This window comes from Homo sapiens, chromosome 18 (assembly GCF_000001405.40).
Source record: "Homo sapiens chromosome 18, GRCh38.p14 Primary Assembly".
NCBI lineage: Eukaryota > Metazoa > Chordata > Mammalia > Primates > Hominidae > Homo > Homo sapiens.
Window position 1 is genome coordinate 13,332,620 of NC_000018.10, and position 24,791 is coordinate 13,357,410.

General features: G+C 38.5%; 1 protein-coding gene across 41 annotated transcripts in view; it reads left to right on the forward strand.

The window, feature by feature from the left end:
- LDLRAD4 (low density lipoprotein receptor class A domain containing 4) overlaps positions 1–24,791 on the forward strand; it is a 435,073-nt gene that overhangs the window by 114,938 nt on the left and 295,344 nt on the right. For 2 of the 41 annotated variants that reach the window (XM_047437781.1, NM_001378098.1), the window contains exon 1: positions 5,984–6,272. The exons of the other annotated variants lie outside the window; for them this stretch is intronic. The gene's annotated coding sequence lies outside the window, so the exon portion shown is untranslated. Of the gene's footprint in view, positions 1–5,983; positions 6,273–24,791 lie in introns of those variants that run through there. 41 annotated transcript variants of the gene reach the window in all.

Here is a 24,791-nt window from a genome sequence, read left to right on the forward strand (position 1 = left end):
TTTTCCAGAATGTCATATGGTTGGAATCATAGAGTACGTAGCCTTTCAGAGTAGCTTCTTCATTTAGTAATATGCGTTTCATGTTCTCCTATGCCTTTTTGTGGCTTGATAGCTCATTTTTTTTGTTTTTTTTTTTTGGTGGTGAATAACATTTCATTATCTGGATGTACCATGGTTTGTTTATCCACTCTTCTACTGAAAGACATGGTAGTTACTTCCAGGTTTTGGCAAATATGAATAAAGCTGCTATAAGTGTCCGTAAGTAGGTTTTTGCATGGTTGTAAGTTTTTAACTTTTTTTTAGTAAATACCAACGAGCGCAATTGCTGGATCATATGCTAAGAGTATGTTTAGTTTTTTTAAGAATCTGTCAAACTGTCTTCTGAAGTGATGGTACCATGTTGCATTCCCACCATCAATAAATGAGAGTTCTGTTGCCCTACATCCTTGCCAGCTTTTGGTATTGTCAGTGTTCTGGATTTCGGCCATTCTAATAGGTGCGTAGTGGTATTTCATTGTGTTTTTAATTTTCATTTTCCTGATGACCTGTAATGTGAAGCATCTTTTCATATGCTTATTGGCCATCTCTATATCTTTGAGAGACTATCTGTTAAAGTCTTTGTCCTATTTTTAAATTGGGTTGTTTGTTTTCTTATTTTTGAGTTTTAAGAATTCTTTGTATGTTTTGGATAACAGTCTTTTAACAGATGTGTCTTTTGAAAATATTTTTTCCCAGTATGTGGCTTGTGTTCTCATTCTCTTGGCATTGTCTTTCACATAGCAGAAGTCTTTAATTTTAATGAAGTCTAGGTTATCAATTATTTCTTTTATGGATCATGCCTTTAGTGTTGAATCTAAGAAATTGTTGCCATTCCGCAGATCATCTCCTATGTTATTTTCTGGGAGTTTTATAGTTTGTGTTTTACATTGAGTTCTATGATCTGTTTAGAGTTAATTTTTGTGAAGGGTGTAAGGTATGTGTCTAGGTTTATTTATTTTTGCATGAGCATACCTAGTAGTTCCAGCACGATTTGTTGAAAATACTGTCTGCTCCATTTTATTGCCTTTGCTCCTTTGTCAAAGATCAATTGACTATTTTTATATCAGTCTCTTTCTGGAATTTCTATTATGTTCTCTTGTTCTATTTGTCTATTTTTCATCAATACCACACTGTCTCCATTACTGTAGATTTATAATAAGTCTTAAAGTCAGGTAGTGCTAGCACATTGAATTTGTTCTTCTTCAATATTGTGTTGGCTACTGTGAGTGTTTTGCCCCTCCTTGTAAATTTTAGAATCAGTTTGTTGATTCCCACAAAATAACTTGCTGGGATTTTGATTGCAATTGCATTGAATCTATTGATGAAGCTGGGAAGAACTGACATGTTGACAATATTGAGTATTCCTATCCATGGACATGGACCATCTGTCCATTTATGTAGTTCCTCTTTTATTTCTTTCATCAGAGTTTTATAGTTTTCTCCATATAGATGTTGTATATATTTTGTTAGATTTATGTTTAAGTATTTTCTTTTGGGAGTGATAATTTGAATGGTATTATATTTTAAATTTCATATTTCATTTGTTCTTCGCTGGTCTATAGGAAAGCAATTACCTTTTTTATTTCTTTTTTTTTTGAGATGAAATTTCACACTTGTTGCCCAGGCTGGAGTGCAATGGTGCAATCTTGGCTCACCACAACCTCCACCTCCTGGGTTCAAGAGATTTTCCTGCCTTAGCCTCCCGAGTAGCTGGGACTACAGGCATGTGCCAGCACGCCTGGCTAATTTTTTGTATTTTTAGTAGAGACAGGGTTTCACTGTGTTAGCCAGGATGAGCTTGATCTGACCTCATGATCTGCCTGCCTTGGCCTCCCAAAATGCTAGGATTACAGGCATGAGCCACTGCACCCGGCCTCAATTAACCTTTATATATTAACTTTGTATCCTAGAATCTTGCTATAGTTGCTTATTAGTTTCAGAATTTTATTGATTCTTCTGGATTTTCTTGGTATCTGTACACAAAGACAGTTTTATTTCTTCTTTCCCAATCAGTGTGCCTTTTATTTCCTTTCCTTTTCTTGTCTTATTGCACTTGCTAGGGCTTATAGTACAATCTTGAAAACTAGTGGTGAGAAGGATGTCCTTGCCTTGTTTCTGATCTTAGCAGGAAAGTTTCTAGTTTCTCATCATTAAGTATGATATTAGCTGGTTTTTTGTAGATGTTGTTTATCAAGTTGAGGAAGTTCCCCTCAACGATTTCTTTTCTGAGAATGGGTTGAATTTTATGTCATAGCTTTATCTGAAAAGTTTTTAATTGATAAACTTAGCTCATTTACATTATTGATATGACAATTATGTTTTATCTAAGTTATGTCACATTTTATATTTTCTGTCTTATAGTTTTCAAGTCTTTTTCATTATGTGACTTATTATGCTTTCATGTTTTGTCTGAGTTCTGTCATGTTTTCTGTTTTTATAGTTTTTAAAGTGGTTTCTTATTGGGCCTATTTTAAGTTGGTAAGTTGATGTTTTTGATATTTGTATTTTTCCTAATAGTAACCTTTTTGATTATAACTTTAGGGAATGTCTTCACTCCTCTGGTTCGTTAGAGGGAAGCTTCTACCATGAGCATTGGTGTCGAGCACATGTTCTCTTCCTTCCTATCCCCTCACTACACGCCCTTACTTGTTATTAGTCAGTTTATTAGTATTTACTGTCATACTGTTAGATATCTTCATATGTATATTACTTTTTTCATCACATTTGAATGATACCTGTTGATTCTCAGCCACTAGGGATAAGGCAGTCAGTGACATTACCCTGTCTCCCACCATCTTTTACTACTCTCCCCCAACACTACAATTTTTGCTGGTTGTATGATTTTTACATTGTCACTAGTTATTACATTTAGATTTGGTTGACCACTTTAATCATCACATTTGTTTTAATCTTAGTTCTATAGTTAAATGAATTCAATTGCCAGTTCTTTTGCTTTTATTTTCCTGATTGTCTCTTGGATTCATTGGGTCAGGAATTCCGGAATGCCTGTGTGTTCAAAACTGTTAGTCAGTGGTCTTTTTGCTTGAAGGAATGCCTGGCTGGGTATAAATTCTTGGCTTATACTTTATTTGCTTAAGTATTTTAAGTATCTTGAAGCAGTAACATATGGATTTGTGGCATAGAGTATTACTGTGAAGAAATACGTGGCTAGTTTAATGCATTTCCTTCTTATAGATGACTTGATTTCTTTTTCTTTTTGCCTAATTACTTAGTCTGTGTAGTGTTACTATAAAGTACTACCTGAGGCTGGGTAATTTACAAAGAGGTTTATTTGGCTTACAGTTCTACAGGCTGTACAAGAAGCATGGTGTCAGCATCTGCTTCTGGTGAGGGCCCCAGAAAGCTTCCACTCATGGCTGAAAAGCATAGTGGAGCTGGCGTGTGCGGAGATCACACGGTGAGAGAGGAAGCAAGAGAGTGCAGGGAGGTGCCTGACTCTTTTAACAGCCGGCTCCCAGGCAGCTAACAGAGTGAGAACTCACTCACTAGGGAGGGCATTAATCTATTCATGAGATTCCAACCCGAATCAAATGTCAGCATGAGGCTCGGAGGGGTTAAATATCCAAACCATAAACATAGCCCAGAGAGTTGTTCTTTATCTTTAAAGTCAGATTTATTAAGTCCAATTTTACTAGAATATTCCTGGTTGTTGACTGTTCTGGGTCCATTTTGGAATGGCCTGGGTGCCTTTTCAGGATGTAGATTTAAATCTCCTTGTATTTAGGACATTTTTCTTGAATAATACCTTTAAATATTTGTTTCATTCTATTGCTTGTTTTTATTTTGTAGGAATTCTTTTTATGCATCTGTTGACTCTCATTTGTCATTCATCCAAACCTATCATTTTCCCCCATCCTTTTTCCTTTTCTTTTACCTAAGTTTCAATTTCTAGGCTTTTCTAATCCATTCCTCTACCCCTTTCTTTGGATTCTGCAATACCTATTCTGTCTTATGCTCATTTGAAATTCATCTTCATTTCTGTGACTTTTTTCCCCTAAGTATTTCTTTTCTGATCTCTTCTAGTTCATATTCTACCTTTTCTTTTTTTCTCACTATTTTTTCCTTGAGTTCTTATATTTGTGCTCTGTGGTGCATCCCTCCCTCTCTTCTGTCTTCCTCCCCCTCTCTCTCTTTCAAGGCGATTGCCTCATTAAGTTTTAAACAATGACAAAATTTTGGTCACAGCTTTCATCTACTCACTAGCAACATTCTAGGGAGTATTCGTCTATTAGTAAGTTTTATGGCTTTCTTTCACTTTTTTTATAGAATAACTTTTTATTGCTTTTCCAATTCCCTTTTTATTACTCATCATTGAGTGAGCTGGGTTTTCCAAGACCAGCTTTATTCAAGAGATACTGTGATATGGAGAAGCTTCCAGGATGGCTTTCCAGGCTTTACAACCCAGAGCCTCTCTCCATCTCTGATGCACTAGAGAGAGGGCTGTTTTCCTACAAATGTAATCCATCTCTGAGATTTTTTAAATGGTCTTGCCTCTGATTCTTCGAAATGATATAAGTCCTGGAGGGCTTCAGTCCCATTCGCGCACTCATACTTGCAATCATGGACTACAGCCGTGTCTTTCAGGGTGTGTTCTTCACCTTCAAGCATGCTTTTGCTGATGGTGCTTGGGATCTTTCATTTCTCTGTGCTCTTTGCAGTTTCTGCCCAATCTCAGCTGCCTCTGGCAGACCTTACAGGTACTTGGAATTCTGGAGATTATACCTGTCTCCTAGTTCCATGGAAAATGGAGTTCAAAAATTCCACGAAACTTTTTTCATTGTCTTTTTGCTTTTGTTTGATATCGAGAGGAAAGGAAAAAGTTCTGTTTGTCCATTTTGTTACAGATAAGGAAAGTGGTTTCACAAAGGTTAAGCAACTTGATCAGTGTTACCCAGCAAAGAGCAGAATGATTTTCAACATTCAGTTTAAAAGTCGGCGGGGGGCAGTGGCTCACACCTGTAATATCAGCAACTTGGGAGGCCAAGGTGGTACGGTCGCTTGAAGCCAAGGAGTTCAAGACCAGCCTGGTCAACATAGCAAAACCTTGTCTTTACAAAAAGTAAAAAAAAAAAAAAAAGAGTTAGCCAAGTGTGGTGGACCTGAGGCAAGAGTTTGAGGCTGCAGTTAGCTACGATTGTGCCACTGCTCTCCAGTCTGGGTGACAGCACGAGGCCATCTCTAAAAAAAAGAAAAGCTCATGCTCTTTCACTATACCATGGTTTCTTCAGTGTTGGAGATACAGTCACAGTGGAAAGCAGTTATGGAGTCAAAGCAACTTTAGTCTTACTGGGTATTTGTTATAGAGGTAGATGTATTTGAGTAGCAAGTTATGGTTACAGAAAATTTTTGTGCCTTCAGTTAAGAACTTTATGGTCACCTACAGCTTCAAGTTACCCCTTTTCCCTTCTCTTTCCCTTCTCCTTACTGCTGTGACCCCGAAGGGAGAAATGTATATAGGTAGACACGCTCTCTATTCTCATCTGCTGCCTTGCTCACAACTTCTCTGAATGCAACTCGTGCTTCATATCATCCACCATGTTTCCTTTCTATTCTCCCTTGATTTTTCTTTTTCAGAATTGCACCCATTGCTATATGTTCTCCCCTGTTTTGTTTAAGGGGTCCTCCAGTAGCACTGTTCTCTGGAGGTCAGGGATGAGTGGGTAAAATCAGGTATCTTTTCTATCCAGGTTCCCAAGTTGCTAGTGGCTGAGCTTCCTGAAACAGAGAGATCCGAAAACAGTTCCTGCTGTTGTTGACTCTTGACAGAGGATCCTCAGCTCTGACCACTGCTGTGCCCTTCTTCAGTGTAGCGTTGGTGGATTTGTTTGTGAATGTTTCTGAGAGTGTAAAGGTTACTATCACACATATGTTTACTCTGTAAAGATAAGGTTCTGGTGAAAATAGAATTGAACTGTGCCCCATCCTCTGTCTTTGCATTTCTGTGAAGAACACAGTTCAGTTTCTAAAAATCACTGGTGGTGGCCCTCTGTATGAAAAAATAAGGCTTACTTCTTGACACTTAAGGTCATTGGAGGATCATACTTAATTGTTTGAACATATGAGTCCTGTTTACACATTCTGGCTCGTGTGTTTTTTTGTTTGTGTTTAGCTGGGTAGATTTGTGAGAGACTCAGGGTGCAGAAGAGAGGGAGAAGATGATGCTGTTTTAAAATGATGCTTTCCACTGGTTGTTTCCTCTAAAGAAGACAACGGTGAGTCCAGGGGAGCTGTTATTTTTTTGCTTAGGGTTGGAAGGAGGGAAAAGACAACTTCTTTTTAAAAATTTATAAAATGTTATGTATTTTTGTTTATGCTTAATTTATATCTGTGACATGGAATTTGAGCAAAGTGGCCACATATTTTTGTAGGGAAAAAGGAGGCATCTGATAGTTTTATTTTCCACATTTTAGGGACTACTTTCCATTGCAGCTTGAGGCTTTCACTGATTAAAATAATGGCTTTTCAAAAGTTAATGTGTTATATAGTGAGCACATAATCTCTTTAAATCTGTTATCCTTCTGTAGTATCACTACTTTTTTTTTTTTTTTTAAGACTGAGTCTTGCTCTGTTGCCCAGGCTGGAGGGACGTGGTGGGATCTTGGCTCACTGCAACCTCTGCCTACTGGATTCAAGTGAGTCTCCTGCCTCAGCCTCCCGAGTAGCTGGGACTACAGGCATGTGCCCAGCTATTTTTTGTATTTTTAGTAGAGACAGGGTTTCACCATGTTGGCCAGGATGGTCTCAATCTCTTGACCTTGTGATCTGCCCGCCTTGGCCTCCCAAAGTGCTGGCATTACAGGCATGAGCCACTGCACCCAGCCATATCACTACTTAAGCTTTGTGTCCTTTTCATATGTAAAGACAAAAAGTTAGCATAAAAACGTAAACAAGAACTTTATATAGCCAGAAAAGGTACAGTGTAATGCTGATGTTTTTGCTTTAAGTAATAAAATAAAACTTTTTTTTATTATAGAAATGGTAATAAAATATTATGGAGAACAGTTTGAAAAGAGAGAATAATTTTTAAAAGGAGATAAGAATTGATCAGTCTAGATCAACCTAGAGGTAACCATTGTTAATGTTTTCTTCTTATTGTAGTAAAATATATATAACATTAAAATTGACAGTTTTAATAATTTTTAAGTGTACAGTGTCATGACATTACGTACACTCACATTATTGTGCAACCATTACCACCATCTATCTTCAGAACTTTTTCTTTTTTTTAAACTGAAACTTCATATCCATTAAACACTAAGCCCTGATTTTGCCCCCTCCTCAGCCCTGGCAACTGCCATTCTACTTTCTCTATGAATTTGATTACTCTAGGAGCCTTGTAAGTGAAATTATTTGTCCTTTTGTGACTGGCTTATTTCACTGAGCATAATGTTCATTTATGATGTAGCATGCATCAGAATTTCCTTCCTTTTTAAGGCTGAATGAAAACTCACTGTATGTATATGCCACATTTTGTTTATCCCTTCATCCATTGATGAACACTTGGGTTGTTTTCACCTTTGGGCTACTGTGAATAATGCTGCTATGAACATTGATGTACCCATGTGAGTTCGAGTCCTTGCTTTCAGTTCTTTTGAGGATAGCTCCAGAAGTGGACTTGCTGGGACATATCGTAATTCTATATTTAACATTTTGAGGAACTTCCATACTGTCTTCCACAGGGGCTGCACCATTTTACATTCCTACTAGCAATGCACGGGGTTTCAGTTTTTCCACATTCTTGCTAACTTTCTATTTTTTTTAAGTAGCCACGTTAATATGTTTTTGATTTGCATTTCCCTAGTGATTTGTGATGTTGAGCACCTTTTCATGTGCTTATTGGTCATTTGTGTATCTTCTTTGGAGAAATGTCTATTCAAGTCCTTTGCTGGTATTTTATTTGGGTCTTGCTGCTGTTGAGCTTTAGTAGTTCTTTATAAATTCTGAATATTAAACCATAATCAGATATGTGATTTGAAGATACTTTCTCCCATTCTACAGGATGTCTTTTCACTTTCTTGATATGTCTTTGGATGCTCAAAATTACTTAATTTTGATGAAGTTCAGTTTCTCTATTTTTTCTTTTTTTGCCTGTGCTTTCAGTGTCATATCAAAGAAATTGTTGCCATATCCAATGTCATAAAGCTTTTCCCCTTTGTTTTTTCCTAAGAGTTTTATAATTTTAGCTTTCGTTTCTAGGTTTTTGATCCATTTTGAGTTAATTTTTATGTATGGTGTAGGACAAGGGTCCAGCTTCATTCTTTTGCATGTGGATATTCAGTTTTCCCAACCCATTTGTTGAATATTGTTCTTTCCCGTTGAATGGCCCTGGCACCCTTCAAAAATTGTTGTATTGTATCTGTGAAGTTGCATTTCTGGCATCTCTATTCTATTCAGTTGGTGTATATGTCTGTCTTTATGCCAGTATCACACTGTCTTGATTATTGCAGCTTTATTCTAGCAAGTTTTGAAATCAGGAATCGTGAGTCCTCCAGCTTTGTTTTTTTTTTCCCCCTAAAATTGTTTTGGCTATTTAGGGTCCTTTGATATTTCATATGAATTTTTGAATGGATTTTTCTATTTTGCAAAAACCATTGTTGGAATTTTGATAGGAATTACATTGAATCTGTAGATCACTTCAGGTAGTACTGATATCTTAAAAATATTATTTTCTAATCCATGAACATGGAATGTCTTTTTATTAATTGGTGTTTTCTTTAATTCTTTCATCAACATTTATAGTTTTTAGTGCACAAGTCTTTTCCTTCCTTGGTTAAGCTTATTCCTAAATATTTTATTATTTCTGACACTATTATAAAAGGAATTATTTTTAAATTTCCTTTTAGGATTTTTCATTGTTAGTGTATGATAATGCAGCTGATACTTGCATGCTGATTTTGCTTGTGGCAGCCTTGTTTATGTTTTATGTTCATTAATTCTAACACTTTTTTTAAAAAAGGGAATCTTTAGGGCTTTCTACATATAAGATCATGACATCTGTGAACAGAGATAACTTTACTTTGTTCTTTCTGATTTGGATGTCTTTTATTTCTTTTTCTTGCCTGATTGCTATGGCTAGGACGTGTACTGTGTTGAATAGAAATGGCAAAAGTGGACTTTCTTGTCTTATTCCTTATCTTAGAGAAAATGTTTTTAGTCTTTCACTTTTGAGTTTAATGTTAGTTGTGGATTTTTCATACATGGCCTTCATAATGTTGAGGTAATTTTCTTTTAGTCCTAGTTTATTGAGTGTTTTTTAAAAAATCATGAATGGTGTTGAATTTTGTCAAATGATTTTCTGCATCAATTGAGATGATCATATGGTGTTTGTTCTTCATTCTGTTAATGTAATATATTACGTTCATTGATTTTCACATGTTGAACTCCTTGCATTCCAAGAATAAATTTCCCTTGATCGTATTGTATAATCCTTTTAATATGCTTCTGAGTTTGGTTTGCTAGTATTTAGTTGGGGATTTTTATATTAATATTCATAAGAAATATTGGTTTGTAGTTTTCTTTTCTTATAATGTCTTGGTATAGTTTCGGTATCAGGGTAACGCTGGTCTCATACAATAAGTTAGAAAACGTTCCTTCCTCTTCAGTTTTTCAGAAGAGTTTGAGAAGAATTATGTTAATCCTTCTTAAATGTTTGGAAGAAGTCACCAGTGGAGACATCTAGTCCTTGGTTTTTCTTTCATAGGAGGCTTTGATTACTGATTCAGTCCCTTTACTAGTTAAGGTTTATTTGGATGTTCTGTTTCTTCATGATTCAGTCTGTGGTTCCTGGGCCTTCCTGTCTTTTTTTTTTTTTTTTTTTTTTTTTGAGATGGACTTTTCCTTCATGGTTTATTCCTAAATATTTTATTATTTCTGACACTATTATAAAAGGAATTATATAATATTCTTTTTTGTCCCTTATAATAGTTTTTTAACTTAATGTCCATTTTGCCTGATATTAGTATAGCCACCACTGCTCTCTTTTCATTACTATTTGCATGGAATATTACAAATAGTATTTTCCATACTTTCACTTTCAACCTGTATGTGTCCTTAGATCCAAAGTTAGTCTCTTTTAGACAAAATATAGTTGGATTCTTTTTTTTTAATTTTTTATTCCATTCTACCAACCTACAGCTTTTGATTAGGGAGTTTAATCTGTTTATATTTAATATAATTACGGACAGGGAAGGATTTATTGTGGTCATCAAGTTAGTTGTTTCTGTTTTTCTTATAGCTTTTTTGTTTCCCATATCATCCATTACTTTCTCAGTGTTAAGTGGATTTTTCTGTAATGACATGTTTTGATTCCCTTCTCATGTACTTTTGTGTATAGTCTGTAGATTTTTTTTTGTGGTTACCTTGAGCATTACACATAATTTCCTAAATCTATTGTTTCCTAAAACAATAGACTTTTTTATTATACTTTAAATTTTAGGGTACATGTGCACAACGTGCAGGTTAGTTACATATGTATACATGTGCCATGTTGGTGTGCTGCACTCATTAACTCGTTATTTAACATTAATATATCTCCTAATGCTATCCCTCCCCCCTCCCCCCACCCCACAACAGGCCCCAGTGTGTGATGTTCCCCTTCCTGTGTCCATGTGTTCTCATTGTTCAGTTCCCACCTATGAGTGAGAACATGTGGTGTTTGGTTTTTTGGCCTTGCAATAGTTTGCTGAGAATGATGGTTTCCAGCTTCATCCATGTCCCTACAAAGGACATGAATTCATCATTTTTTATGGCTGCATAGTATTCCATGGTGTATATGTGCCACATTTTCTTAATCCAGTCTATTGTTGTTGGACATTTGGGTTGGTTCTAAGTCTTTGCTATTGTGAATAGTGCCACAATAAACATACGTGTGCGTGTGTCTTTATAGCAGCATGATTTATAATCCTTTGGGTATATACCCAGTAATGGGATTGCTGGGTCAAATGGTATTTCTAGTTCTAGATCCCTGAGGAATCGCCACACTGACTTCCACAATGGTTGAACTAGTTTACAATCCCACCAACAGTGTAAAAGTGTTCCTGTTTCTCTACATCCTCTCCAGCACCTGTTGTTTCCTGACTTTTTAATGATCATCATTCTAACTGGTGTGAGATGGTATCTCATTGTGGTTTTGATTTGCATTTCTCTGATGGCCAGTGATGATGAGCATTTTTTCTGTGCCTTTTGGCTGCATAAATGTCTTCTTTTGAGAAGTGTCTGTTCATATCCTTCACCCACTTTTTGATGGGGTTATTTGTTTTTTTCTTGTAAATTTGCTTGAGTTCATTGTAGATTCTGGATATTAGACCTTTGTCAGATGAGTAGATTGCAAAAATATTCTCCCATTCTGTAGGTTGCCTGTTCACTCTGATGGTGGTTTCTTTTGCTGTGCAGAAGCTCTTTAGTTTAATTAGATCCCATTTGTCAATTTTGGCTTTTGATGCCATTGCTTTTGGTGTTTTAAACATGAAGTCCTTGCCCATGCCTACGTCCTGAATGGTATTGCCTAGGTCTTCTTCTAGGGTTTTTATGGTTTTAGGTCTAACATTTAAGTGTTTATTCCATCTTGAATTAATTTTTGTATAAGGTGTAAGGAAGAGATCCAGTTTCAGCTTTCTACATATGGCTAGCCAGTTTTCCCAGCACCATTTATTAAATAGGGAATCCTTTCCCCATTTCTTGTTTTTGTCAGCTTTGTCAGAGATCAGATAGTTGTAGATGCGTGGCATTATTTCTGAGGGCTCTGTTCTGTTCCATTGGTCTATATCTTTGTTTTGGTACCAGTACCATGCTGTTTTGGTTACTGTAGCTTTGTAGTATAGTTTGAAGTCAGGTAGCATGATGCCTCCAGCTTTGTTCTTTTGGCTTAGGATTGTCTTGGCAATGTGGGCTCTTTTTTAGTTCCATGTGAACTTTAAAGTAGTTTTTTCCAATCTGTGAAGAAAGTCATTGGTAGCTTGATGGGGATGGCATTGAATCTCTAAATTACCTTGGGCAGTATGGCCATTTTCACGATATTGATTCTTCTTACCCATGAGCATGGAATGTTCTTCCATTTGTTTGTATCCTCTTTTATTTCATTGAGCAGTGTTTGTAGTTCTCCTTGAAGAGGTCCTTCACATCCCTTTTAAGTTGGATTCCTAGGTATTTTATTCTCTTTGAAGCAATTGTAAATGGGAGTTCACTCATGATTTGGCTCTCTGTTTGTCTGCTGTTGGTGTATCAGAATGCTTGTGATTTTTGCACATTGATTTTGTATCCTGAGACTTTGCTGCAGTTGCTTATCAGCTTAAGGAGATTTTGTTCTGAGACAATGGGGTTTTCTAGATATACAGTCATGTCATCTGCAAACAGGGACAATTTGACTTCCTCTATTCCTAATTGAATACCCTTTATTTCTTTCTCCTGCCTGATTGCCCTGGCCAGAACTTCCAACACTATGTTGAATAGGAGTGGTGAGAGAGGGTATCCCTCTCTTGTGCCAGTTTTCGAAGGGAATGCTTCCAGTGTTTGACCATTCAGTATGATATTGGCTGTGGGTTTGTCATAGATAGCTCTTATTATTTTGAGATACATCCCATGAATACCTAATTTATTGAGAGTTTTTAGCATGAAGCATTGTTGGATTTTGTCAAAGGCCTTTTCTGCATCTATTGAGATAATCATGTGGTTTTTGTCATTGGTTCTGTTTATATGCTGGATTACGTTTATTGATTTGTGTATGTTGAACCAGCCTTGCATCCCAGGGATGAAGCCCACTTGATCATGGTGGATAAACTTTTTGATGTGCTGCTGGATTCGGTTTGCCAGTTTTTTATTGAGGATTTTTGCATTGATGTTCATCAGGGATATTGGTCTAAAATTCTCTTTTTTTGTTGTGTCTGTGCCAGGCTTTGGTATCAGGATGATGCTGGCCTCATAAAATGAGTTAGGGAGGATTCCCTCTTTTTTTATTGATTGGAATAGTTTCAGAAGGAATGGTGCCAGCTCCTCCTTGTACCTCTGGTAGAATTCGGCTGTGAATCCATCTGGTCCTGGACTTTTTTTGGTTGGTAAGCTATTATTGCCTCAATTTCAGAGCCTGTTATTGGTCTATTCAGAGATTCAACTTCTTCCTGGTTTAGTCTTGGGAGGGTGTATGTGTCCAGGAATGTATCCATTTCTTCTAGATTTTCTAGTTTATTTGCATAGAGGTGTTTATAGTATTCTCTGATGGTAGTTTGTATTTCTGGGGGTTCAATGGTGATATCCCCTTCATCATTTTTTATTGCCATCTATTTGATTCTTCTCTCTTTTCTTCTTTATTAGTCTTGCTAGCGGTCTATCAATGTTGTTGATCTTTTCAAAAAACCAGCTCCTGGATTCATTGATTTTTTGAAGGGTTTTTTGTGTCTCTATTTCCTTCAGTTCTGCCCTGATCTTAGTTATTTCTTGCCTTATGCTAGCTTTTGAATGTGTTTGCTCTTGCTTCTCTAGTTCTTTCAGTTGTGATGTTTGGGTGTCAATTTTAGATCTTCCTGCTTTCTCTTGTGGGCATTTAGTGCTATAAGTTTCCCTCTACACACTGCTTTGAATGTGTCCCAGAGATTCTTGTATGTTGTGTCTTTGTTCTCGTTGGTTTCAAAGAACATCTTTATTTCTGCCTTCATTTTGTTATGTACCCAGTACATTCAGGAGCAGGTTGTTCAGTTTCCATGTAGTTGAGTGGTTTTGAGTGAGTTTCTTAATCCTGAGTTCTAGTTTGATTGCACTGTGGTCTGAGAGACAGTTTGTTAAAATTTCTGTTCTTTTACATTTGCTGAGGAGTGCTTTATTTCCAACTATGTGGTCAATTTTGGAATAGGTGTGGTGTGGTGCTGAAAAGAATGTATATTCTGTTGATTTGGGGTGGAGAGTTCTGTAGATGTCTATTAGGTCTGCTTGGTACAGAGCTGAGTTCAATTCCTGGACATCCTTGTTGACTTTCTGTCTCATTGATCTGTCTAATGTTGACAGTGGGGTGTTAAAGTCTCCCATTATTATTGTGTGGGAGTCTAAGTCTCTTTGTAGGTCTCTAAGGACTTGCTTTATGAATCTGGGTGCTCCTGTATTGGGTGCATATATATTTAGGATAGTTAGCTCTTCTTGTTGAATTGATCCCTTTACCATTATGTAATGGCCTTCTTTGTCTCTCTTGATCTTTGTTGGTTTAAAGTCTGTCTTATCAGAGACTAGGATTGCAACTCCTGTCTGTTTTCCATTTGCTTGGTAGATCTTCCTCCATCCCTTTATTTTGAGCCTATGTGTGTCTCTACACGTGAGATGGGTTCCCTGAATACAGCACACTGATGGGTCTTGACTTTTTATCCAATTTGCCAGTCTGTGTTTTTTAACTGGAGCATTTAGTTCATTTACATTTAAGGTTAATATTGTTATGTGTGAATTTGATCCTGTTATTATGATGTTAGCTGGTTATTTTGCTCATTAGTTGATGCAGTTTCTTCCTAGCCTCGATGGTCTTTATAATTTGGCATGTTTTTGCAGTGGCTGGTACTGGTTGTTCCTTTCCATGTTTAGTGCTTTCTTCAGGAGCTCTTGTAGGGCAGGCCTGGTGGTGACAAAATCTCTCAGCATTTGCTTGTCTGTAAAGTATTTTATTTCTCTTTCACTTATGAAGCTTAGTTTGGCTGGATATGAAATTCTGGGTTGAAAATTCTTTTCTTTAAGAATGTTGAATATTGGCTCCCACTCTCTTCTGGCTTGTAGAGTTTCTGCCGAGAGATCAGCTGTTAGTCTGATGGGCTTCCCTTTGTGGGTAACCCAACCTTTCTCTCTGACTGCCCTTAAAATTTTTTCCTTCATTTCAACTTTGGTGAATCTGACAGTTATGTGTCTTGGAGTTGCTCTTCTCGAGGAGTATCTTTGTGGCGTTCTCTGTATTTCCTGAATTTGAATGTTGGCCTGCCTTGCTAGATTGGGGAAGTTCTTCTGGATAATATCCTGCAGGGTGTTTTCCAATTTGGTTCCATTCTCCCCGTCACTTTCAGGTACACCAATCAGACGTAGATTTGGTCTTTTCACATAGTCCCATATTTCTTGGAGGCTTTGTTCATTTCTTTTTATTCTTTTTTCTCTACACTTCTCTTCTTGCTTCATTTCATTCATTTGATCTTCCGTCACTGATACCCTTTCTTCCAGTTGATCGAATCAGCTACTGAGGCTTGCGCATTCGTCACATAGTTCTCGTGCCATGGTTTTCAGCTTCATCAGGTCCTTTAAGGACTTCTCTGCATTGGTTATTCTAGTTAGCCATTCGTCTAATCTTTTTTCAAGGTTTTTAACTTCTTTGCCACGGGTTCGAAATTCCTCCATTAGCTCAGAGTAGTTTGATCGTCTGAAGCCTTCTTTTCTCAACTCGTCAAAGTCATTCTCTGTCCAGCTTTGTTGCGATGCTGGTGAGGAGCTGCGTTCCTTTGAAGGAGGAGAGGTGCTCTGATTTTTAGAATTTTCAGTTTTTCTGCTCTGTTTTTTCCCCATCTTTGTGGTTTTACCTACCTTTGGTCTTTGATGATGGTGACATACAAATGGGGTTTTGGTGTGGATGTCCTTTCTGTTTGTTAGTTTTCCTTCTAATAGTCAGGACCCTCAGCTGCAGGTCTTTTGGAGTTTGCTGGAGGTCCACTCCAGACTCTGTTTGTCTGGGTATCAGCAGTGGAGGCTGCAGAACAGTGAATATTGGTGAACAGCAAATGTTGCTGCCCGATCATTCCTCTGGAAGTTTTGTCTCAGAGGAGTACCTGGCTGTGTGAGGTGTCAGTCTGCCCCTACTGTGGGGTGCCTCCCAGTTAGGCTACTTGGCGGTCAGGGATCCACTTGAGGAGGCAGTCTGTCCATTCTCAGATCTCAAGCGGCGTGCTGGGAGAACCACTACTGTCTTCCAAGCTGTCAGACAGGGACATTTAAGTCTGTAGAGGTTTCTGCTGCCTTTTGTTGGGCTATGCCCTGCCCCCAGAGGTGGAGTCTATAGAGGCAGGCAGGCCTCCTTGAGCTGCGGTAGGCTCCACCCAGTTTGAGCTTCCCAGCCGCTTTGTTTACCTACTCAAGCCTCAGCAATGGCGGGCGCCCCTCCCCTAGCCTCGCTGCCACCTTGCAGTTTTATCTCAGACTGCTGTGCTAGCAATAAACGAGGCTCCATGGGTGTAGGACCCTCCGAGCCAGGCACGGGATATAATCTCCTGGTGTGATGTTTGCTAAGACCATTGGAAAAGCGCAGCATTAGGGTGGGAGAGTGACCCGATTTTCCAGGTGCCATCTGTCACCCCTTTCCTTGACTAGGAAAGGGAATTCCCTGACCCCTTGCACTTCCCAGGTGAGGCGATGCCTCGCCCTGCTTTGGCTCACGCTCGGTGCGCTGCCCCCACTGTCCTGCACCCACTGTCCGACAATCCCCAGTGAGATGAACCCGGTACCACAGTTTGAAATGCAGAAATCGTTTGTCTTCTGCGTTGCTCACGCTGGGAGCTGTAGACTGGAGCTGTTCCTATTTGGCTATCTTGGCTCCCCAACAATAGATTTTAAATTAATATCAATTTAATATCAATGTCATACAAAAACTACTCTTTTACAGCTCCATCTCCTACTATGTATTATTGTTGTCATAGATTATGTCTTTGTATATTGTGTGTCCATTAATATGCACTTATGATTCTTTTATGCATTTGTCTTTTAAGTCCTTTAGAAGAATAAAAAGTGGAGTTACAGACCAAAATTACAATAACCCTGGTTTTTATATTTGTCCATGTATTTACCTTTACCAGAGGACTTTGTATTTCCACGAGGCTCCAAGTTACTGTCTAGTGTCCTTTCATTTCATACCCTTTAGCATTTCTTGTAGGGTAGGTTTAGTGGTAATGAACTCTCAGCTTTTGTTGATCTGAGAATATCTTAATTTGTCCCTCATTTTTATTTTTTTAAATTTACTTTAAGTTCTGGGATACAAGTGCAGAATGTGTAGGTTTGTTACATAGGTATACATGTGCCATAGCGGTTTGCTGCACCTATCAACCTGTCGTCTAGGTTTTAAGCCCCGCATGCATTAGCTATTTGTTCTAATGCTCTCCTTCGTCTCACCCCCCACCCCCCAACTGGCCCCAGTGTGTGTTGATCCTCTCCCTGTGTCCGTGTGTTCTCACTATTCAACTCCCACTTACGAGTGAGAACATGTGGTGTTTGGTTTTCTGTTCCTGTGTTAGTTTGCTGTGGATGATGGCTTCAAGCTTCATCCATATCCCTGCAAAGGACACGATCTCATTCCTTTTTATGGCTGCATAGTATTCCATGGTGTATATGTACCACATTTTCTGTATCCAGTCTATCATTGATGGGCATTTGGGTTGGTTCCATGTCTTTGCTATTGTAAATAGTGCTGCAATAAATATACAACATGTGTCTTTATAGTAGGATGATTTATATTTCTTTGGGTATATACCTAGTAATGGGACTGCTGGGTCAAATGGTATTTCTGGTTCTAGATCCTTGAGGAATCGCCACACTGTCTTCCACAATGGTCCAACTAATTTACATTTCTACCATCAGTGCAAAAGCATTCCTATTTCTCCACAGCTCACCAGTATCTTATTGTTATTTGACTTTTTAATAATTCCCATTCTGACTTGTGTGAGATGGTATCTCATTATGGTTTTGATTTGCATTTCTCTAATGACCAGTGATGATGAGCTTTGTTTCATTGTTTGTTGGCCACATAAATGTCTTCTTTTGAGAAGTGTCTGTTCATATCCTTTGCCCACTTTTTGATGGGGGTATTTGTGTTTTTCTTGTACATTTCTTGTACATTTGTTTAAGTTCCTTGTAGATTCTGGATATTAGATGGGTAGATTGCAGAAATTTTCTCCTATTCTGTAGGTTGCCTGTTCACTCTGATGATAGTTTCTTTTGCTGTGCAGAAGCTCTTTAGTTTAATTAGATCTCATTTGTCAATTTTTGCTTTTGGTGCAATTGCTTTTGGCATTTTTGTCATGAAATCTTTGCCCATGCCTGTGTCCTGAATGGTATTGCCTAGGTTTTCTTCTAGGGTTTTAATGGCTTGAGGTTTTACATTTAAGTTTTTAATCCATCTTGAGTTAATTTTTGTATAAGGTGTAAGGAAGGGTCCAGTTTCAGTTTTCTGAATATAGCTAGCCAGTTTTCCCAGCTCCATTTATTAAATAGGGAATCCTTTCCCCATTGCTTGTTTTTGTACAGTTTGTTGAAGAGCAGATAGTCGTAGATGTGTGGTGTTATTTCTGAGGTCTCTATTCTGTTCCATTGGTCTGTATGCCTATCTCAGTACCAGTACCATGCTGTTTTGGTTACTGTAGCCTTGTAGTATAGTTTGAAATCAGGTAGCATGATGCCTCCAGCTTTGTTCTTTTTGCTTAGGATTGTCTTGGCTATATAGGATCTTTTTTGGTTCCATATGAAATTTAAAGTAGTTTTTTCTAATTCTGTGAAGAATGTCAAAGGTAGTTTGATGGGAATAATATTGAATATATAAATTACTTTGGGCAGTGTGGCCATTTTCATGATATTGATTCTTTCTATCTATGAGGATGGAATGTTTTTCCATTTGTTTGTGTCCTCTTATTTCCTTGAGCAGTGGTTTGTAGTTCTCTTTGAAGAAGTCCTTCACATCCCTTGTTAGCTGTATTCCTAGGCATTTTATTCTCTTTGTAGCAATTGTGAATGGGAGTTCATTTGTGATTTGTCTGTCTGCTTGTCTGTTGTTGGTGTATAGGAATGTTTGTGATTTTTGCACATTGATTTTGTATCCTGAGACTTTGCTGCAGTTGCTTATCAGCTTAAGAAGTTTTTGGACTGAGATGATGAGGTTTTCTAAATATAGAATCATGTTGTCTTCGGTTGAATCCCTGAATAGACCAATAACAAGTTCTGAAATTGAGGAATTAATAGCCTACCAACCGAAAAAAGCCCAGGACCAGACAGATTCACAGCCAAATTCTACCAGAGATACAGAGAGTATCTGGTACCATTCCTTCTGAAACTATTCCTAACAATTGAAAAGAAGGGACTCCTCCTTAACTCATTTTATGAGGCCAGCATCATCCTGATACCAAAACTTGGCAGAGACACAACAAAAAAAGAAAACTTCAGGTCAATATCCCTGATGAACATCAATGCAAACATTTTCAATAAGATACTGGCAAACCGAATCCAGCAGCACATCAAAAAGCTTATCCACCATGATCAAGTTGGCTTCATCCCTAGGATGCAAGGGTGGTTCAACATATGCAAATCAGTAAACATAATCCATCACATAAACAGAACCAATGACAAAAACCACATGATCATCTCAATAGATGCAGAAAAGGCCTTTGATAAAATTCAACATCCCTTTGTGTTAAAAACTCTCAATAAACTATGTCTTGATGTAACATATCTCAAAATAATAAGAACTATTTATGACAGACCCACAGCCAAAATCATACTGAATGGGCAAAAGCTGGAAGCATTCCCTTTGAAAACCAGCACAAGACAAGGATACCCTTTCTCACCACTTCTATTCAACATAGTGTTGGAAGTTGTGGCCAGGGCAATCAGGCAAGAGAAAGAAATAAAGAGTATTCAAATAGGAATAGAGGACGTCAAATTGTCTCATTTTTAGTTCAAGTTTTGGAACATACAGAATTCTTGGCTGACAGGTTGTTTTTGTTTGTTTTATTTTTCCCTTTCAGCAGTTTAAATAAATCCTCACATTGCCTTTGGGCTGCTGGGTTTCTGCTGAACAATGTGCTGATTATCTTACTGGATATCTTTTGTATATGATGGTTCACTTCTCTCAGTACTTAAAAGATTCGGTCTTTTGACAGTTTGAATATGTCTTGGTGTGGGTCTCTTTAGTTTTATCCTACTTTGAGTTGTTAAATTTCTCGGATTTGTCAATTTATGTATTTTCTCAAAGTTGAGACATTTTCTGCTATTATTCCTTCAAATAATATCTTCCTCTTTCTCTCTTCTCCTTCTGGAATTCTCGTAACATGTATACTTGTTCCCTTGCTTGTGCCCCATAAGCCTCTTAGGCTCTGTTCACTTTTCTTCATTCTTTTTTCTTTCTACCTCTCAGATTCAGTAGTTTTAAATGACTTGTCTTTAGATTTTCTTATTCTTTCTTTTACCTGTTTGAGTTTGCTGTTGAGCTCCTGTAATATATTTTTGAAAATATAGTAGCATTTTTCATTCAGTTGTGTTTTTCAGCTCTAGAATTTCTGTTTGGTTCCATTTTATAATTTCTGTCTCTTTGCTATTATTCTCATTTTGTTTTTAAATCATTTTCCTGATTTTCTTTAGTACTTAGTCCATTTTTCCTCTAGCTCTTTAAGCATATTTAAGACTTATGTGGTAAAATCTTTGTCTAGTATATCCAGTGCCTATGTTTCTTCAGGGATAGTTTCCACTGCTTTATTTTCTTCATTTTTGTAAGCCATGTTTTCCTGTTTTGTCTTTTGTATGTCGTGTGCTTTTTTAAAATGGAAAATTAGGCATTTGAAAAAAAAATAACCACTTCCTCCTGTCTTTCTAGAGTGGCTTTGTGTTGGGGAGGACCTTTGGGATCAGCTGAGCTTTATTAACAAGCTGAGCTTTGGGATAGCTCACTGTGAAGGCTTAAGGCCTTGCTAGGCCCTTTTCTGGGTATGTGTCTTATGTGGGCCTGTGTGTATGCTTTTCAATTCCCAAGTATAGATGGTGGCTTTTAATTTTCTTAATTTCCCCAATACTCTCACCTTGGCTGCTGGACCTTATGTATTCTATTGTATTCCTCTGCCTGCAGTCTGTTGCCCTAGGTGTCTGTGGGTCTGTTTTCTTAGAGTAGCTGTCACTGCTGCTTCCTGTTTCTTGTGCCTTTTCCTAGCCTGAGAGGCAAGCTGTGGTGGTTTTTGCCTTCTGAGCTTGGAGTTAGGCAATGCAGAGACCAGTCCTCAGGCAGTCCTCAGACAGGTTAAAATATTGCAAATTAGGTCAGGTCTACTCCCTTCAGAGGGAGGGAATTGGAAGCTTTGGCCACTGCCTCCTCCAGCCCAAGGCTACACCAGGCTGGGAAGTAGGGGAAAAAAGAGTGAATAAAAATGAAATGAAATGGCAGACATTTTGAATGTGGCTTCTTCAGTAGGCATTTGCTTAATGACTATAGAACTTTGTTTTCCAGCTCTTTTATAAAGTTAATGTAGCTAGTCTCTAGTTGTTTTTCTTTAATGTTTCTTTGGGTGAATGAGGGCCTGGAGCCTCCTGGTCTGCTATTTTGCTGATGTCACTGCTCCAGATAATATTCTTTTTTTTTCCTAGTTAATACAACAGTGATTTAACTCACAGGATTAAAAATGTTTAGAGTTTTAGATGGGCATGGTGGTGCACACCTGTAGTCCCAGCTGCTTGGGAAGTTGAGTTGGGATGATCAGTTAAGCCCAAGAGTTCGAGGCTGTAGTGTGCCATGTTTGCACCTGTGAGTAGCCATTGCCCTCCAGCCTTGGCAATATAGCAAGACCCAGTCTCTAAAAAAAGAAATAAGAAAAGCTTAGCATTTAATTTTTTCAAGTACTTTGGAGAATGCAATAAGAATTGTCAATTTTATGCTAAAATTTATCATATGGAAGTTCTTACGGTGTTGATTTGGTTGCAGCACAACTTTTTATTTATGAAAAAGGAATTTACTCTTTGAAATGGTAAGATTTTGGGACCAACAGCATGAAATGGATATAATGGAAAATGTTCTTTTATTGCTGTTGGGTGCATTCTCTTGCACATTCTGTAATTTTGACATAGGCTACTGTGATTAGAAATTACATCATTTGTGTGATGGAAAAATATAGAGAACTAGAGGCAGTCTGAACTAAATTACTGCTCCATGAAACCAAAGGGGCCTGAGATGACTTAGACACCATCCTTCTTGAGGATGGGGAATGAATCAGTGATCAGCTGAGCCTTCTGGTGGTGTGATTCAGACATTATTTAGCTGGGGTTCTGAACCCAGGATCCATTAATGGAGTTAAACTTTCTTTTAAAATATATTCCAAAATCATTTTACAGAGATTTATTCTCATTCTCCTCAATGTGCAGTTTGGTCGGCACTGAGGGCAAGGGCTTGTGCTGTTAGATGAAGATAGATGTGCTGTGACCATTCATTGAGTCCTCTGGCAGCTTAGGGTGGACCTTGTGCCCCAGGGCTGTCTCCAGTGTCACCAACACTCATCTTCAAGGAGGTTCTGCTCTGGAACCTGTTGTCAACACAGAGGTTCCAATTTGATTTAATTGGATGCCTGAAGGGAAATGAATGGAGAGAGGTGCTTGTTTCCACCCCATTTCTATGCCTGTTTGACATGTTGGTCATAAACAGGATCGATGGGCAGATTCAAGTTGTTGGACTATTACACTGTGGCAAAGATGCCTGGTACAGCATTGCAGAGGGCCTCTCAGATGAGGCGCGTGCTCCTGCACTTTAGTCTATGTTGTTTTGTTTTTGTGATGTTTAATCAGATCTTACTAATTTTTTAAATCCAAGCTTGGAGTGAAACTTTGGCACCCTGACAGTGCTTATAACTTAGGAAACTTGAGGAATTGATGTATGTGGGGAAGTAGGAAGAGGCCAGTTTTAGCTTTCCATCTGGATAACTTGGTCAATTCCTGCTATGCTGTTGAACTACCAAGAGGATTAGGACCCTTTGCTCTTTGTCCCTTCTAAGGAGTTTCTATCATAAGCCAGTGGTAGAATTTGTCATATGAGGGAGTCAGTGGCTCATTCACATAAAGTAATGAAATATTTGGGTACATGCTGATAGCATTTAGTGTTTCCAGAAGGGCAAATGCCTAGTTATTATGACTTACTAAGACCTATGCTGTCTGTCAATAATTCTTTTCTGTTATGCTGAAATCGCTTTGGTCACTACAAAAGTGACTTTTCATTTCCAAGAGTCTGGTTTTTTTTTGAAAGGCAGTCTCACTCTGTTGCCCAGGCTGAAGTGCAGTGGTGCAATTACAGCTCACTGCAGCCTCAAGCTCCTGGGCTCAAGGGATCCTCCCACCTTAGCCTCCAGAGTAGCTGGGACCACATGCATGTGCCACCATGCCTGGCTAATTAAAAAAAAATTATAGAGACAGAGTCTTGCTTTGTTGTCCAGGCTGGTCTTGAACTCCTGGCCTCAAGTGATCCTCCCACCCTGGCCTCCCAAAGTTCTAGGATTAAGGCATGAGCCTCTATGCTTGGCCTCCAAGAGTCTTAAGTTGGATTTTCTAGAAGCAGAGCCTGAGATCGCAATCCAGTTGCAGTGAGTTATTGAGGCCATATAGGAGCAGGGGATTGAGGAGTGTGGGATTGGGCAGTGGAGGGAGGAGCGTAAGCAAGTGAGCGGGCTCAGCCAGGGTCGTGCTTCAGCACAATCCCATGAGACCTTCAGAGCATGAATTGCTCTATTGATTTGGTCCCACTTTGAGAAATACCCAGTATTAGGCACTGTTGGCTCCTGGCTGCCTGAGAGTGCTGGGATCTGGGGCAGGCCACTGGGCATGACCTCTGTAGGGAGGAGGCTCCCATCCATCCAATGGGAATCTCCTTGGAAGGGTGGCTGTGAGCCTTTGGCAGCAGGCGCCCGCAGCTCTTGGGACAGGTGCACTGCCACCACACCAAGTGTGCAAAGGACCCGGGTAAATGCATTGCTTAAAGCTAGTGTAGCTTATTTGAGAAAAACAACTCTTACTACTTATTTTTAGTATCTATTTTATTGCATCATAAGTCAGATTTAGAAGATGTAGCACTGTAGAAAGATGAAAAAGTAGGACAGAACTTTTATTTGAAATTTAAAAGATTTTCCCATCTAATTAAAAGTTTTACCTTTTTATTGTAGAATAAAATACAGGTACAGAAAAGATAAGAAGCAAATACATAGTTTAGTGAATTATTTTAGACAGTTTCCCCTGGAACCACCACTCAAGTCAGGAGGTAGAAATTTGCCGCCCCAGGAATCACCTCTGTGTGCTGCCCCTTTCCCGTCACACCATCTTCCTCCCTCCAGGAGCACCCCCTGTCTTGAAATTTATAATAATGACTTTCTAACATTTCTTTATGGCTTTATCATCCAAATTTGAGCTATAGTTTAATCTTCTCTAATTAGAACACTTGAAATGTCTTTTAGGTCAGGCGCATTGGCTCACGCCTGTAATCCCAGCACTTTGGAAGGCCGAGGTGGAGGGATCACGTGAGGTCAGGAGGTCAAGACCAGCCTGGCCAACATCGTGAAATCTTGTCTCTACTAAAAATACAAAAATTAGCCGGGTGTGGTGGTGCGCACCTGTAATCCCAGCTACTTGGGAGGCTGAGGCAGGAGAATGGCGTGAACCCAGGAGGTGGAGGTTGCAGTGAGCTGAGGTTGTGCCACTGCACTCCAGCCTGGTTGACAGAGCGAGACTGCATCTCAAAACAAAAAACAAACAAAAAAACAAAAACAACAACAACAAACACTTGTTACATCTTTTAAGTTTCCATTTTAACAGGCAGGCTCTCTACTTCCTTATTTTCCTTGAAGTTTAATTAATTAATTAATTAGAGATGAGGTCTTGCTCTGTTGTGCAGGCTGGACTCCTGGGCTTAAGTGATCCTTCTGCCTTATTCTCCTAGAGTGTTGGTATTACAGGCATGAGCCCCCACACCCAGTTTGCTTGAAATTTATTTGTTGTAATGGATGGTTGGATGC